Genomic DNA, 16393 nt, shown 5'->3' on the forward strand with positions numbered 1-16393 from the left:
TATTTATCTTAATGAAATATTTTATACACTGAAGAAATCTTTTTTCTCAAAGATGACATTATCCACAGTTTACAAAATGATTATGATTGCCTGAAGGGCTTGGCTTAGGAAATCTAGTCCTGACATATATTACTTTTATGGAAAAATAAATTTATCTCAATTGGCTCTTAATGTCAGCTGAAAAGGGGAACCATTTAAAATTAGCTGCCAGACACAGAAATGATCCTATTTGAAATTAGAATATGTTTTCTAAAAAACGCAAAGTGACAAAACTGACTTTGGGATAGAGCAACTTTTTAATACATTATATTTTATCTTAAATATGGTACAGATTGTGTTTCTCAGAAACAGACTATTCCCATCTCCTTGTCTTTCAATCCTCCACTCCAAGGGCTCGATCCCCATGTTCTAACTCTTCAAATGATTTGGGATAAGAACTATTCTAATGTAAACTTCCACAGGGCCATTTGGAGCTCTGTGCAGAATCAATAAAATAAATTAGCTGAAGTAACAGCTGAGCTAATCATGAGAATGTTTAAAATGATAAGAACTTGAATTAAAGTTTTTCTAAGTGCCAATGGATTTAACTAACTACCATATGCTGTTCCACTTTGAGCAACAGGTCTAGTTATCAAGTCTCCTATTGTCCAAGGTGAAGAAAGTCAGGTGGAAGAGTTTCTGGGGCCAGTAATAAAAATTAGAAGATCCATAACACTTTGTGATCCCTTTCCAATACACTGTATAATGAAAAGATCAGATTTATGTTGAAACAAGAAAGAGAATGTATTCCATTAAAAGAAAAACAAAAACTGCAGTTTCACTCTATATCTTCCATAAAGAATGGATTTTCCTGTATCGATATCACTACAGTTTTTAAATTTCATTCTTATTTATGCTCTAATTAATCAAGATAACATAACCCATCCTAAAGTTAAGCTTTATCTAGGCAACTTTTCTAATGTTTTCATTAACTTTCTTTAAATTGCCAGCATGGTGAAGATGTAATGTGTCACCTAGGCCCTTGTCTTTATTTCAGTCTGTAGTGGTGGAAGCCACAAAACTTATACACCATATTATCCACTGCAATGAGAATACAGCTAGCCCCAAATCAAATGCTTTTCTTTCCTCAAAGCCTCAACAATGTTGCCCTCCCCCCCTATAAATTAGCAGTGTTTAGAAGGAGACTTGTGCACATTCTATAGATTATTTTAAGGAAAAGCTCTGTCATCCATAATACATTTGGGCTTCTTTCTAGTTGAAGATTTATAATTTTTTTATTGATGGGTTATGAATATTGACACAGGAGATATTCATTGTTTATTGAAGGCTTGTTTACATAAAAGATCTTCACAGGCTACCCCCTAAGTCTAGAGGTCCTAAACCAGTGTCAGGGAGCTGTCTGGGTATTTTTTCCCACGTATTGCACTGCCATTCTACCAACAATAGAGGCCCATTAACGTTTGGCCCTTCAAGTTACTGCAGCCCAAGCCTCAGTGGCAGGACGTCTGCCCAATATGTAAAATAACGGAATGAATGGATTCCTTGGAAACAATGATAACAAGACCTGGCTGAGCTAACTGTGACAGCATGTGGTAATTTTCCAGCCCGCTGGCCCTGTAAAGGAAACTGGAACACAAAGCATAGACTGCGGGGCGGGCCAGCCTGAATAGCTGCAAACAAGTGCAGAATATCTGATGATGTCATACGCACAGTTTGACAGATGGGGCTGGACAATTTTTCCCCCTTTAAACGTGTTCTTAACTATTTGTATTCCACTGGCTTCTCACTTGGGAAGTTCAATCCTGTAATCACCTGCTTGAAAGACTAAACAAACCTTAACTGTCATGTGCTTGATTCAAGTACCACCAGTTTTATGAAGAAAAATGATATCCATTATTAGTGGCTGAATGCTGAGGGGAGCAGTGGGGGAGAGGGTGTTGCTGTGGATTAATGCATCATCTCTGCTTTCAGCTGTGGGCCAGGTTTTGAGTCTAGCTCTGACTGAATCCTGCCATACACTTTGAATAGCATAATGAAGTATTGTTATTGCCTCAGTCTAGTCATTACATCAGGGAAACAGACATCTAAAGTTATCAAAACTGATTACTAGCTGAGCTTTTGTGTCCATAAAATAAATGCATTAAAAAGAAGGCTTTTTTTTTGTTGTTCTTATGGGTGTTCTATCAAGGTTGGATGTTTTAGTGTTTATAGCACTATGTGTCACTGTGTGTAAGTTGGTGTTAGGGTATATCTGTAGTCAGTACTCTCCCAAAACATGCCCATATGTGGATCTGCATGCGTGTGTGTTTAAGCTGGTGCATGGGAGACAGAGAAAATGAAGATTGACAACATTTATAAAAATGAGACACAACTCAATTAAAATTCACCGAAAATAGTAAATGAACCAGAGTACTCAGTTTAATTGTAATGACACAAGACTGTCTTTTTCTACCCTTCAAATAAGTAGCTGCTTTGGATCTCACATGTCTTCACCATTTTATTCATTTGGTTCTTTTTATTTACTTTTCAAGGAATTTATGTAAATATATGTAGGCTACAAAATAGGTCTCAGATACAGCCTGATTCTGTAATCTTTTCATCAAATAGCTAACCAAAGAGAGATAGCCAAAGGATTCTGTTTATGGAGAAGTGAGATCTGTTCCACAGAAAAGCATGGCGCACTGCCTAGCCTATAGACACAAGAATAATAGAAATAGCATAAAATTAAAAATTAATGATTAGGTTTTACAAAATATCTTTTCAACTAGGAGAGCACCACACCCTAAACTATGGTCTTTAGATTCTCCCAGATTATAGAAGGTTTACAGAAGCTATCCCAAACTTACCTTCCCCTGTCTTAAGTAACATAGTTGTTGGGTAGGAAAATAAAAAGGTGATACATGTAAGCAAAGGGAATTCTCACTTTCACCCTTGAAGAATCACTACGCTCCGCTTACCTCTACCCACAACCTCCACCAACATCTTTTAGATGTGAAAAGAAAAACATATCCCTGATATTATCTACCATTTACCAGTTCACCTAGACATAATCAAACTATGCTTTGGTGGTCTTTCATGCATTCATTCAATGATGAGTGCCTGCTATGGGCATGACACTGAGCTATATCTTTATTCTTTGCAAAGACTCCAACTGGGATTGTGTTATCTCTTTAAATTCAGTGTAGGAGAATTATTTGCACAATGCACATTTGCGCCAGTAGCTGCTTCTCAACAGAGCAGTTGTGGTTCACAAGGAGCCAAAATCATCTATTCTTAGATTATGCCTAAATTTGAGGGCCTTGTAGCTACCATAACCTGTAATGAATGAGAAGCTCATCACAGGGCACGTTGTTTATGAGAGGAGTTTTTTCCTGCTTCCCACATTTTCTGCTAACTAGCACCAAGGGCATCCCTCTACACGTTTACACCAGATGGAGGTTCCCAACTGTTACTGAAAGTCAAATTGTTTTATTAGTAGCTGTGGTGCTTTCATCTCGAGAGGAGGTTAAGAAGGTGAGAGGAATGAAAAAAAAAAAGGTGGGGATAGGTAACAAGAGTTTTCAATGATCACATGTCATAATCTGAAACTATCCACAAGCTGTTCTTTGAGACTTGCTTCAGATCCCTCTATGTCAGCAGCCTAGGTGGGGCATTGTTAGAAGGCTTTGAGAGGATAGCCAAGGACTTTAGTTGAGGAACAGTGTGATACTAGGTAGGAAGGAAAGACAAAATCTCAAGTTCCCACTGCTAACAATGAGTTAAAAGTGTGTTAGCACATTACCTTTTTCAAGTCCTCATCTGACCAAAAAACCAAACTACCGAGGTTAATAAAAATAATAGCAGCTAGAATAAGAATAATTATAATATTTTATAATGACTACAACCTAACAGAACTTTTGAAAGAAATTGATAGATGATGTTTCCACACATATTTGTACAACTTGTAAAAATATCAGTAAGGATAATATCATATTAAGCCAAACCAAGGATCATCCACAGTTGAATATCCTAGAGGTGTTCTATGAAAGGACATATTGTCATTCAAGTTCACACCTCCAGAAGTTATTTATTCATGCAGATATGTCAAATTCCTTAAAAATCAATTACAGGTATACCAGAATTTAATCTAGAGGTTTCATGAATCTACTGAGAATTTAAGACTATCATCACTTCTTGGAGTAACAAGATTTGTAGCTATACTAGCCACTTCGCAAAACCATGCTTTGTATCTATCTGAAAATTATAATTCAGTTCAACTAAATAAAAATTTACTAAGAATTTACCTAGTGAATAGTACAATGCAAAAACCAGTAGAAATACAAAGGTGGACAAGGAGCCCACAAAAGTGTCTGCAATTGTCCTGGAGGAGCAGATATGTTGTGGAGAAGTATATGTTATATATAAAATCTTTTAAAAAGTCCCTTAGAGGGAGTGCTGAGGCTTAGGGAATCTGTCCATATTATCCCAAAAAATGTTACATTACAACTTTTGAACTTGGATCAAGATGTCACCCATTTGTAGAGCCTTCATCGTTCTAGACTGAAGTTGTCTTTTAGTTGATCTGCCTTCAGAAAGCACCTTTCAAGTCTTTCATCATTTCAGTGGCTTTTCTCTGAACACTCTCTAGTTTCATGACTTATTTCTCACTTTCCAGAAAGCATGTTTAAGTGTAAATGGGCTTTTGAACTTGGTTTGTAAAAATAAGATGGAACACTCAGCCAGGTACAAGTCCAAAGTAATGGAGACCAAAACTTTGTATTTAAAAAAAACCACATAATTAAAACCAATTTTTAATGTCCATTGCTCCTATAGAACACTTCAAGAAAAGGTACAATTAGAGACAGAGATTTGAAGATAGGAGCAAGGAGCTTCATGCATTTTTATCAATTGCTTAGCAAAAGCATTGGTGAGGGATATAATCCGTCATAATATCGAATTCTGCCATTACTGTTTAACATAGTAAAGGTACATCATGGCATTAAGTATTAAGAGACCTGGTTTGGGGTACAGCAGATGTGTTTTGTCTTTTTCTAAATGTGATGTTGAGAAAATCACCGGTCCTTTCTGCACCCTGTCTCTTTATTGTTAGAATAGAAAAAATATCTATGCCACAGAGCTCTTGATTAAGGAACTAGAATCTAAAAAGCTTAAAAGCTTAATTAATCTATAGCCTACTATTATTAACAAAAATAAAAATAATAAAATAAAGGCTCTCCTTTCCTCAATTGTGAAATAAAAATTTTTGTGTTTTGCATGAGCTTTACAGTTTATTTTAGCTCTGAAATCCTATGTCTTTGTAAAGCAGAAATCTATAAACAAGATGGCAAACACCATCTTTCACTTATTTATTTAAAAAAGGAGGCATAACTTGAAAGACAAAAAAGAAGCAGCAGGCAGAACTGTGGAGAGGGGCCTTTCACAGTCCCAGTCTCACACTTCACTCTAGCTCTATTCCTTGCTCATTTAATGACCCCAAGCAAGTCAGGGAACCTTTTTGAAACCATTCATGGAAAGGGATTATTAATGCCTACTTCAATAGGAAAGCCCTTTGTGAACTTCAAAGTGCTACAACATCGTCAGTTATTATCATCTGAGAATACTTGGGAACCTTTATTTGTACTGTCCATATCACACCCGTAAGCCTTCAGCTTCTACAGAGGTGTTTCAGCATTTCTGTTGCCAGATCTATTAAAGCTGAAAGTCAGTAAGGATCAACTTTTAAAATATCTTTATTTAAAAGACTTATTTAAATTTTTTAAACGTCATCCAAAAATCTCTTGAAATGTCTTCTTTGAAGAGTTTATTTACAATTTTTATTTACTCATTTTATTAAATGTTATGTCTTTGGTAAAATCTGCTTTCTGACTGGACTCATCAAGTTCATTGTATAGTCAAGTCTATTTCTGAAATTAGAATATGTAGAGAGAGAATCTACTTCAATTTAAGATGTTGTGCTAAAATATTCTTGAAATCAATTCACCGATATTCATTAAATCCCTCCTAAAAGAATACCATTGAGATAGAGGCTGTAATAAATTAAAAATAAATTAAGATGAAGTCACCAACCTCAAGACATTGACAAAACTGGTAGGGTAAAAAAAAGGTACACAAATGATTTTTATGGAGGATAAGATAAATGATTTATGAGAAATAAAAATGAAATATTATGAGAGAATCAAAAAAGGAAAAAAATATACCTTACTTGGAGAATAGTTCCATTTGCAATTAGAAAAGTTCTCTTCAGGACAGGTCTGCCAATAACTTGCAAATTAAAGACTTGAAAAGATTATAATTATAATGCAGGATGGCCCATTTAAAGAAGTCCCACTTAATATGCTTTCAACAGGAATAAGATAAAGAATACATAGTTCAAGCACATACAAATAAATCCCTTTTGAAGGGCACAAAGGACTTTATTATGTATGTGCTTTTTTTCTAAAAATGGGTCACTTAAATAGAATCACAATACCTTTTTAAAAAAAGACAAATTCAAAGAGATGATATAAACTTCCTGGGTAAAAATGATCTATTTTTATTTGTGTTAGTGAAAACTATATATTGTCCCATGTAGTGCCCTGTGGCATATTTATGGGTGCGTTAACTCAGTCATCAGGGTTATGCAGACCTCAGGGAGGGAGTCGGCTCCCAAAGAGGCCTCTTTCCAGGATATCTTTCTGTGGAGACTAGTGCCCTCTTTAAAGGATAGGGTCCCTCATCCCGTCCCTCTGCCCTCCCCCAGTCTGGGTCTGGGTACCATTAGTGCACTGGAGCAGTAATTTCACTAAATTGTACCTTACTGGCCCCCTATTACGAAAGGAAGTGTGAATGCTGCCAAAGCCCTTTCCTAACTGGCAATGGAATCACAGGTCAGAAAACATCTTTAGCAAGCATAAATTATTAGGCTGACTATAAAAGAGAGCTGACAGATGAAACAGGCATTTTCATGAGTGAACAATACAGCTTCAATTCAAAGACTGCTGATTGGGTGTTCAGCCTTCCAGCATAAACAGCTATTCAAATTTTAAACTGTAACCAAGTGAATAAAGAGAAGGAATGCCACGGCCACCTCGGGTTCTTCAGAACAATTCAACAAGAGATGTGATATAAATAAAATGTCAACCTATAGGTTGAGTATTTCTTCATCTTCCCAAGGGTGCTTCACAGCTCATGAAACAGAAGGGCAGTGTTTCAGACTATAGGCAGCACCAGAAACCTGAAGGGCCAAGTTCCCCCACTGGTTGTCCCAGAGCCTCGCTAGGAGATGGTCACTGAGCACATCAGCCTCCCTCTCCTCCCACCCTGTCTGTTAGAGTCGTTCCCAGCCTCCTCTTTTGTAAGATGTTATCTGTATTCATGGGGCGAGGCTATTGGGGATGAAGTCACAAACATGTAATTATAAACCTTGTAACAATGGAAAGCATTCTACTCATAAGAGAAGTAGACACTGTCAGTTTCTCGCTGAGATGCCACAAAGGAAGAGTGCCTCCCTGAGATAAAACTATATGTAATTAACAAAAATGAAAAGCATTTATCTCTATGTTTTGCCAAAAGACACAAATCCCAGATGTTTAAATCCTGCTAACATTTCTTGGGAGAATAAGATAAGAACCTAAGACCATCTGCAATCTTTGGTTGTATGTAAATCTCTGATTAAAATACAGGCATGTAGCTGAGTGTATCTAGTGACAGGAGACACATGAGTGCTGAGTGCTTGCTTAAAGAGAATGCTTCACTATTTTACCCACTGAGTACATTATCTAACAACGCCAATATATTGGACATTTCCATGTTGGGCTTAAATTGTATCCTCTTGAGTTTTAGAAGGTCACAAGAAGCTATTTTAGGCATAAATAACAAAGGAAGTGATCTGTAATTTCTTCCCTGAGCGACCTCAGTCCTGTGCCTTCTGAAAGACCTACATGCTGGGCACTCTGTCCCCAACCCTTGCCCCTATAGGGTCAGTTTGTGTCTCTTTTCCTACACAAAGAGGCACCTGTTATCACAGAACACTTGCTTGTAGGTAGTTGCTTCTGAGTTAATTTTTCAGTACTTTCCACTGTAAGCTGAGAAGTCTTCCAATACTGATGATATCTATCCCTAAAGCTCCCAGGTCAGTGGAGACCTCTGATTGTTTTTAATGAATTGAGTGCACAAACAGCTGTGTTTACATTCAAGATCTAGTCAAAGGAAGTTAAATTAAAATTTACTTTTTTAATCTCGATATGTTTGCATCAGATAATAATTGTGAAAAATGTGCTAGAGGCCCAAAAGTCACTGTTAAAAATATGTTTTGAGATGACATTTCTTTACATTGATTTGAATTACAAAAACAAATGGGCCTGTCTGCTGTGAAGTACTGCTTTCTAACTTCCATGCTTCCTGGAGTATAGAACTGGTAACATTATTTTTAGATACTAAGGAGAAAGCCCATAATTTACTAATAAACAAGGAGTTCTGCTGCTGAGAACTACCCTAAAATGTGCCATTAAAAAGGAGGGACTTTAGGAAGGAGAAAATTGCACATGTGTGCAATTAGATATGACTTTGATAACCCATGACCTCAGGTTGAGCTGTCATTCATTTAGCATCCTGCCCATAACTACAGTTTAAATAAGGGTCTATGTGACCTGTATGATTTAAGAAAGAGTAGGTCCATACACAGGCAAGCACTATTGTAAAGAAACCACATTATGTTTGAGAGTCTTTTGTTATTTAAAGTACCTCTGCCAAAGTGGAACTTCAGGCATTGCTATGTGATAATGCTGTCTGAAAAAGACATCTCACGCAACCTGCAACTAACTGGAATATGTTAAGTTTGATGCTTATCCTCAATCCAGTTGTGGGTTGTTGACATGTGATTATATTGATGAGCAATTCACAGTTTCTCACAGCAGCATTTCAGGATTCATGTTGACTTAATTTTCTATACTCTACTCCAGTTGATTTTGTTTTTTAACACAATGCATATGAAAATAAACTTTCTTCTCTTACCCTAGTAGGAGTGTGCTTTATTAAATTTTTCTCTGCCCTAATATATCTGAGTGAAGCAAGTACATACTAATCCTGATCCAGAAAATTTTCAGAGAAAATCTATACGTTATCATCCATTGATTGCCTTAACACTGATCTTTTTAGGCAAAGCAATTATGGTGAATTTTGTAACTAAATGTAATCTTAATAGTAAAATCCTCAATAAAATAAAAGTAACCTTCATACCTGTTATGTTTACTCTGTAAATCCTAAAACATTTGCATCTACTCTAGATAAATGCTGTCCATGAGATTTTGAACATCCATTGTACCATGGGTACTTATTTTTCTTTTTCTTTTTCTTTTTTTTTTTTTTAAGAGATGAGGGCTTACTATGTTGCCCAGGTTGGAGTGCAGTGTCTTTTCACAGGTGCAATCGTGACACACTATAACCTTGAACTCCTGGGCTCAAGCAATCCTCCTGCCCCAGCTTCCTGAGTAGCAGGGGCTACAGGTGCATGCCACCATGCTCAGCATACTTCCTTATAATAGTCATCATCTTGCTATTACATGTATTCAGTGTCAGTCTTTCCTCTTCATTAATGGGCCTTAACTCTGGGTGAACATTAAAAAATTCTAAGAACTTTTCAAAAGCACTCATGCCCAAGCCAATAAAACTGAATCTTCATGTGTCTGTGCATTGGGGGTGGGGATATGGGAGACTCGGTGTGGTTATTAATTTTTTTAACTTCCAAGATGATTCTAATGCTAAGCTAGAGAAAATTTTAAGCTAGAGACAAAACTCACTGTCCCAGGTTGTTAGGTCTATGAAAGACGGGATGATTAGTGTATATTGTTGTCTGGAAAATAATAGTACTCAAGAGTCACGTCACTATTGTCATGTGCAACACACGATTTTGTCAACAAAGCTCACACAGGAATTTCAGAAACCTCCCATATATCAAAGTAACCTTGGACATTGGCCTCTGAGCATTATTTCCAATGAAATAGAAGATGATGTAACTGTGACATTAATTCAGGTCTTTCTAAGTTTAAGTTTTGACCCTGTGGAGGTCAGCAGCTGCTGAATACTACCTTAAACACTCTTACTACAATCTCCCTACCCCTGGAGTACACAGGAAGGGTAAACTGATGTTCCCCTTCCCATACCTTGCCTACCTTTTCTGGTCCATGAGCATGGAATCATGCATGAATAAAACTTGTTGCATTAGCAAGAAGAATGTTAACCTTTTCATTCCCTCATATTAAAAGGTGGTGAGACATAAAATTGCTATTTCCAGCTAGAATATAAAGACATACGGATATCTACAGTGAGTGATATTCTTGGTGCATCTAGGTTATAGGTCTAGCTCTGATAGAAACACTAAGGGAGATGTTGATGAAGAGCAGTATCTGCCCACCTTAATACCAAAATCAGGAATCCATATCTGAATTTAACTTATCTTTTTAAATCAATTTACGTATTAGTTATTACCACCTATTGGATTATTGACCTCTCTAAATGTGTCTTCCTCTTCCAGGCTTCAATGGGAGTTCTCTTCAATCAGCACTGTGGGATTCAGAAAATAGCCTTGTACTTTCTCAATAGAGACCACTGGTGACATTAGTGACTTCAAGCACGTATCTGCTCTGCCTCCTTCTTTCTAGATGAAAGAGTCCAGGCTTTCCAATCTGTCTTCAGAGGATAGTACCTCCAGCCTCTTGAGCATCTCAGTTCTGTTCTCTAGACAACTACATTGAATTGGAGGTATAGAATTCAGAGGCAATTTAAGTGGTTTCTCCCAGCTTTATGCTTTTTCCACCATACTTTTTTTCCTTAGTAAAACTTTAGTTCTAATTATGGAATAATTTGAGTGGATCTTTTTTATTTCTCCCCAAACCCTTGATTTCTCCTTGAATCTCATTTGTGTCTGTCAGTTGGCTGACATTTCCCAAGCATCCAAGTCTGTGCTTTGTAAATTTTGCCAGTTTCTCGGAATCATTTTACTTTTCAGGGCTTTCCCTTTATTTTATCCTTTTACAGTTCCTGTCTCTCCTCTCTTGGTAAATATGTCTTCCAAACCCTCCTTTCCCTCCTACTATTTCCTGGAGGAATTAATGAATATCTATATACTCCCTTTGTTAGTCTTCCAGCCTCATGCCTACTCCTCACCCCTGCCACAGCTACATATTTCCTGAAGTAAATTGGATTACTCACTGCATCCAATTGTCATTGACAGACATTCAAGTTCATATCCCCTCAAGCCTGTTTTAATTTATTAGCTTGAATTTTAACTTTTAGGATTCTATTTGACAAAGAACATATTTAAGTCCTTATTGATGATAATAATCCTAATAATAACTCCCACTTAAAGCATGTTTCATTCATGAAGTACATGCATTTTCTAAATAAAAGAAAAAGCATTAATCCTCTTAACCCTCCAGTGAGCCAAAGAAAAAGTGTAATTATTCCCATTTTGCATATGAAATCACTGAGGTAAAACAACGCATATTTCCCCAGTGGCAAAATAGAGCAGGAAGGAAATGAATGCCTGACTCCCAGTTATCTGCTAGGCTATGAAGAAAAAATTTCTTAAACTCAAGAAAATTCAGATAACCCTTTGTGCCAATGACTTACCATTGCCTCTCTGAAATGATTATAGTGAATATTTATTCAAGAAATTCTGAGACAGCTCATGTATGTCATGCTACCCTGAGGAGGAAATGTCAAATGACTGGGAATAAAAGAAATGCCATGAAGAACGTGGCCCACAGAGGCGATTAATATGGAGTTTATCCATTGAGATATAAAATTTAAATGGAAATCTTTGACTTAATGCAAGATGAAGATGAAGAATCCCTGGAGAGACTTCTAAGACCTGAAATAGTGTCTTTTCAGAGTTTAGTGACCTGATTGAACTTTCTTTCACCCTCCTTGTCCTCGTACAATGCTGCCCCTGCCTTGGGAGGCTGTGTCACAACAGGAACAATTTTTTAAAAATCACTCCTAATTTCTTCCATACAGAATATTTTGGTGGGTGGGGGGGCTGGCGGGAGGCATTGGTAATGATTTTTTCTTTTTCTTTTTTTTTTGAGACAGAGTCTCACTCTGTCACCCAGGCTGGAGTGCAGTGGTGTGATTTCGGTTCACTGCAATCTTCTCCTCCTGGGTTCAACCTATTCTCCTGCCTCAGCCTACCGAGTAGCTGGGATTACAGCCACCACACTTGGCTAATTTTTGTATTTTCAGTAAGGACAGGGTTTCACCATGTTGGCCAGGCCGATCTCAAACTCCTGACCTCAAGTGATCCACCCGCCTCAGCCTCCCAAAGTGCTGGGATTACAGGCGTGAGCCAGCACGCCCGACCGATTTTTCAATAAGATCTGTGACATCACAGGTACAATAAGTGTAGAATTGATGGAGTGAGGAATAACAAGGAAAAAAACACAAATTGAAAGTTTAGCCTTAAACAATTTTGACATAGTCTATGGCTATTACAACATTTAATATATACGCAAAAAGCCTATGGGAAAAATCTCTTGATTCAGGTCAAATTGATGATTGATTTCTATCTCTTGCTTACTGGATCAATTTAATGGCAGTAAGTATGTTTTTTGTTTGTTTGTTTGTTTGTCTGTCTGTTTTTGCATGAACCAGTTCATTCTCCGCCTGTTAAGGCAACTGGTTCAATTCAACTAGAATTTCCTCACATCCAGACACCTGGTCAGAGCATCTGATTTGCTTATGGTTCCTGCTAATTAATAGGCCATCCACAGCAGTAGTTTGTCTCTGTTGTAATTCTTATTTCTCATATTTATTGTTATTATTATTCACTCTTATGTATCAGTGGAATACTTGAAATCTTATTTTTTTCTCACTTCCAGGAGAAATTTACCCCACCTTTAACTTTCTGTCTACTACTATACTTAAAACCATAACCATGGTCAATCCTTGCCAAGGATTAAAGGGAATGTTGAGGGGGCCTTTCTCCCATGTTGCCCACATTTCTTGCATAAATCAAGATGCTATTCTCCTGAGTTCCTGTCTGTCTGCTTAGTCTGCTTATGAGGATCCATTGATAAAAACTCAGATAGTCAGGAAAACATAATATTGCTGGACCTTTCTAAAAAACTATGATCCTCTTTAATAAATTCAAGACAGCTAGAGGAGGAGACAAAATTTTTAGGTCAAAAGAGAAACATCTGGGTTTGGAGATTTGGGAGTGCAATATAGCCATAAGAGATTCTTTTGAATCTCTAAAGCTTCAAGTGCACAATAAGAGTATTAAATAGATCAAATTGATTCCATTTCCTGACTCCTTATCCTGTTTTGAGAACCCTTAAAAAAATCCTTTGGTCCTAATAACTATTCTGAGTGCCATAATACCCTTAAGGGATATTAATAAGAGTCCTCTTTAGGACTGGATAGGTTGGGATGGTGGAAGGAAAAAGAGCCAGGCTCATTGTGCATATTCATATTATGCAAACATGTGTACATCTCTGTTGCAAAGAAAGGATGAAAAGAAGAGGAAATTGGAGAATTATTTTTTTGTGTGTATGACAGGGTACCATTTCATTATTTTTATATTGAGATATCATCTGACCTCCATCCCAAATGTAGGCACTCATAGCTTTTTGCTATGAGCATAGAAAACCATTAGTGCTGACAGGCTGATCATATTCTCAAAAGGTCAAGATCTGCTGTAATAGTGCTTTTTCTTCATCATTTGTCACTTTTGTGGGGTCTTTTTAACTTCGGTGTCAACATATGTGTTATTCACATCTACGTTGACATCCTGACTTCAAAAGCATGTTTTATCCCTTTGCTTCAAATGCATGTAATAAAATAACCTATTTTTAATAATTAAAAACAATTTTATGAGAAGAAATACCTCTAATGTTGAGAATGCATCAATATACTTTTTTTCTTTGATGTTTATTTGGAATTTCTCTCCAAATTTGGTGAAGTAAAAATGGGCAGATATCACTACTCTTTGATGAGGCAAAAATGGGAAGGTATCATTAATTTCTCTTAAGAGGTGGAGCCACACAGAGGACTGACTCAAAGAGTCATCTGAGAATGAAAGTCAACTGTTCTCATTCTCAGTTAATGCTATCTTAATTAGAATCAATGCCTGAGGAGTGTAATGTTGAAGCATAAGTTAGTATAGTGCTATGACCTCTTCCCCCAGTTTTGGCTCTAAGAAAGTAGATGAAAAAAAAAGTAAAAGAATGGACTTAATGTCTGATCAAACTGAGAACCAGAGATTAAGAAGGACAAATCAACTACCTTTCTTCAACACCTTTCCCCCAACTCCCCCACTGCTCTTGACTTTCATTACTTCTATCCCAAACCTTCTGTTCGCCCCCCATATCCCAACAATGCCTTTTTTGTCTTATTTCTTTTTTGTTGTTGTTGTTGAAACGGAGTCTCACTCTGTCGCCCAGGCTGGAGTGCAGTGGCGCGATCTCGGCTCACTGCAAGCTCCGCGTCCCAGGTTCAGGCCATTCTCCTGCCTCAGCCTCCCGAGTAGCTGGGACTACAGGCATCCGCCACCATGCCCCGCTAATTTTTTGTATTTTTAGTAGAGACGGGGTTTCACCATGTTAGCCAGGATGGTCTTGATCTCCTGACCCCGTGATCTGCCCGCCTCGGCCTCCCAAAGTGCTGGGATTACAGGCGTGAGCCACCGCACCCGGCCCCTTTTTTGTCTCAACTTTTCCATCTAGGTCATTGCAAATATTCACAGTACAATTAAAACCTACCTTCTGGTCAATAATGGAGTGGAAATGTATTTGCGTAAAGTTTGAAGAGCTTCTTGAGAAAGAACTTGGATTTCTCCTGAGTCACTGATAGGAGCTTCCCAGGGAGATGTGGCTTTATTCCCTCATGGCACATAGTAGGAGGATGTTGCAAAGAAGCTAATGCCACCTGACAGCAATGATCTCACAGGCTACTGAGAAGCACAGTTTGGAGCCTGAGCTTTATCAGACAGCAGCTGTGACAGTGGCATATTTTAAAAGTGTATTGCAAATTTCACCTAAGTGGTCTTTAAAATAATTTGAAAGCCTCCTTGGCTTTCACAGACTTTTTTTTTTTTTGTATGAAATATTTTTCAGTGAACCTTTTTTTTTGTCTTCATTATTTTTTCTTTTATTCTTTTTATTATTATTATTATTATTATACTTTAAGTTTTAGGGTACATGTGCACAATGTGCAGGTTAGTTACATATGTATACATGTGCCATGCTGGTTAAGAAAGAACACCTCTCCTTTAAAAATTAAAGTAATATTGTCTATTTTATGTATCTGAAGGTAGATAGGAAATTACAGCCACTTTTAAAAAAATCTGTAGTTGATTATGTTGTTTCCAAATTTAATAAGCTACTATTAATCATTAACTCCCTCTAAAAAATAAACTGGGCAGTTTGGCACCTCACAACTGAATGAATAAAATATAAATTAAATGATGCTACCTTTGAGCACATTCCCACTCTAAGTCAGCTTTCCTAAATGAGTATTCATCCTATACTTTCCATGTTAGCAAATGAAAGGGCAGTGATAATGGAAGAAGTGTATATTCTGGGACCTCACACAAAAATTAGTAAAATAAACATCTTCCCTGTTAACTGCAGAAGAAAAACACTAAGCTTCTACTTCCTTAGCTGACCTCTTGCGGAGGGAATTTCCAGATCTAGATTGATCTGCAATTGAGAAGGATCAGCAAGGAAGGCCACAGAATCACAAACACAGCAGAAACTTTGAGAAGCCTTCACTCTCTCTTTCAACTTTCATGTAAATACTCTGAGAGATGAACATGAATTATGAGTTCTGAGGATTACTGGGGGTAATAATATCCACCTCTTTATCCCAGTGACTCTATTCTTGCCAGAGGTGAGGTCTAGGTTTCCCAGAACATTATGTTTACATAATTATGGGGGCCTTCTTTAAGCAAAATACTACAGAATTACAAGTAAAAATTAAGCCCAAGACACTGAGGTTCTAAAGCTTAAGCTTCATTAGCTTTACGGTAAATCTGCCTCAGGGTCTTAAACCCAGGTACAAGTTCTACTTCTGACAGGTACTGCAGTGGGCCAGATAGAGTTTTCATATTATTAAGAGTGTGGAGAGGGTTTTTTTCTGCATGAGATTCCTATGGGTATTAGGAAGACAACATGTTTCCCCCATTACAAGAGTGAAGTCTAAAGCCAATGAACTCAACTTTTAAGGGAAACGAGTAGTTGATCAAATATAAATACTTGACTAAACTTTCATTTCTTCCCATACTGTCTCTACAAAATACAAAGTTTCAAGAAGTCTGTAAAGCCAAGGAAACGGATAGTTCTGAAAGGGCACTTGGATCTTTTTTGTCAGTGATATGACCACATGTTTTATCCTTTTCTAGTGTACCAACTGGACACTC

The 16393-nt window shown here is 37.3% G+C and overlaps 2 annotated features.

Annotated features, from left to right (window-relative positions):
• Positions 975-2678: an enhancer, noted in NCBI's record as "VISTA enhancer hs267". NCBI's record gives its function as "enhancer in: neural tube[9/11] | hindbrain (rhombencephalon)[7/11] | midbrain (mesencephalon)[7/11] | forebrain[9/11]" and the evidence as "EXISTENCE:transgenic organism evidence [ECO:0001131][PMID:17130149]".
• Positions 14544-15043: an enhancer, noted in NCBI's record as "H3K4me1 hESC enhancer chr5:87253511-87254010 (GRCh37/hg19 assembly coordinates)". NCBI's record gives its function as "activates a minimal SCP1, AML or CMV promoter by ChIP-STARR-seq in naive H9 embryonic stem cells {active_cell/tissue: H9 hESC(naive)}" and the evidence as "EXISTENCE:reporter gene assay evidence [ECO:0000049][PMID:30033119]".

This window comes from Homo sapiens, chromosome 5, assembly GCF_000001405.40.
Source record: "Homo sapiens chromosome 5, GRCh38.p14 Primary Assembly".
NCBI classification, from domain to species: domain Eukaryota; kingdom Metazoa; phylum Chordata; class Mammalia; order Primates; family Hominidae; genus Homo; species Homo sapiens.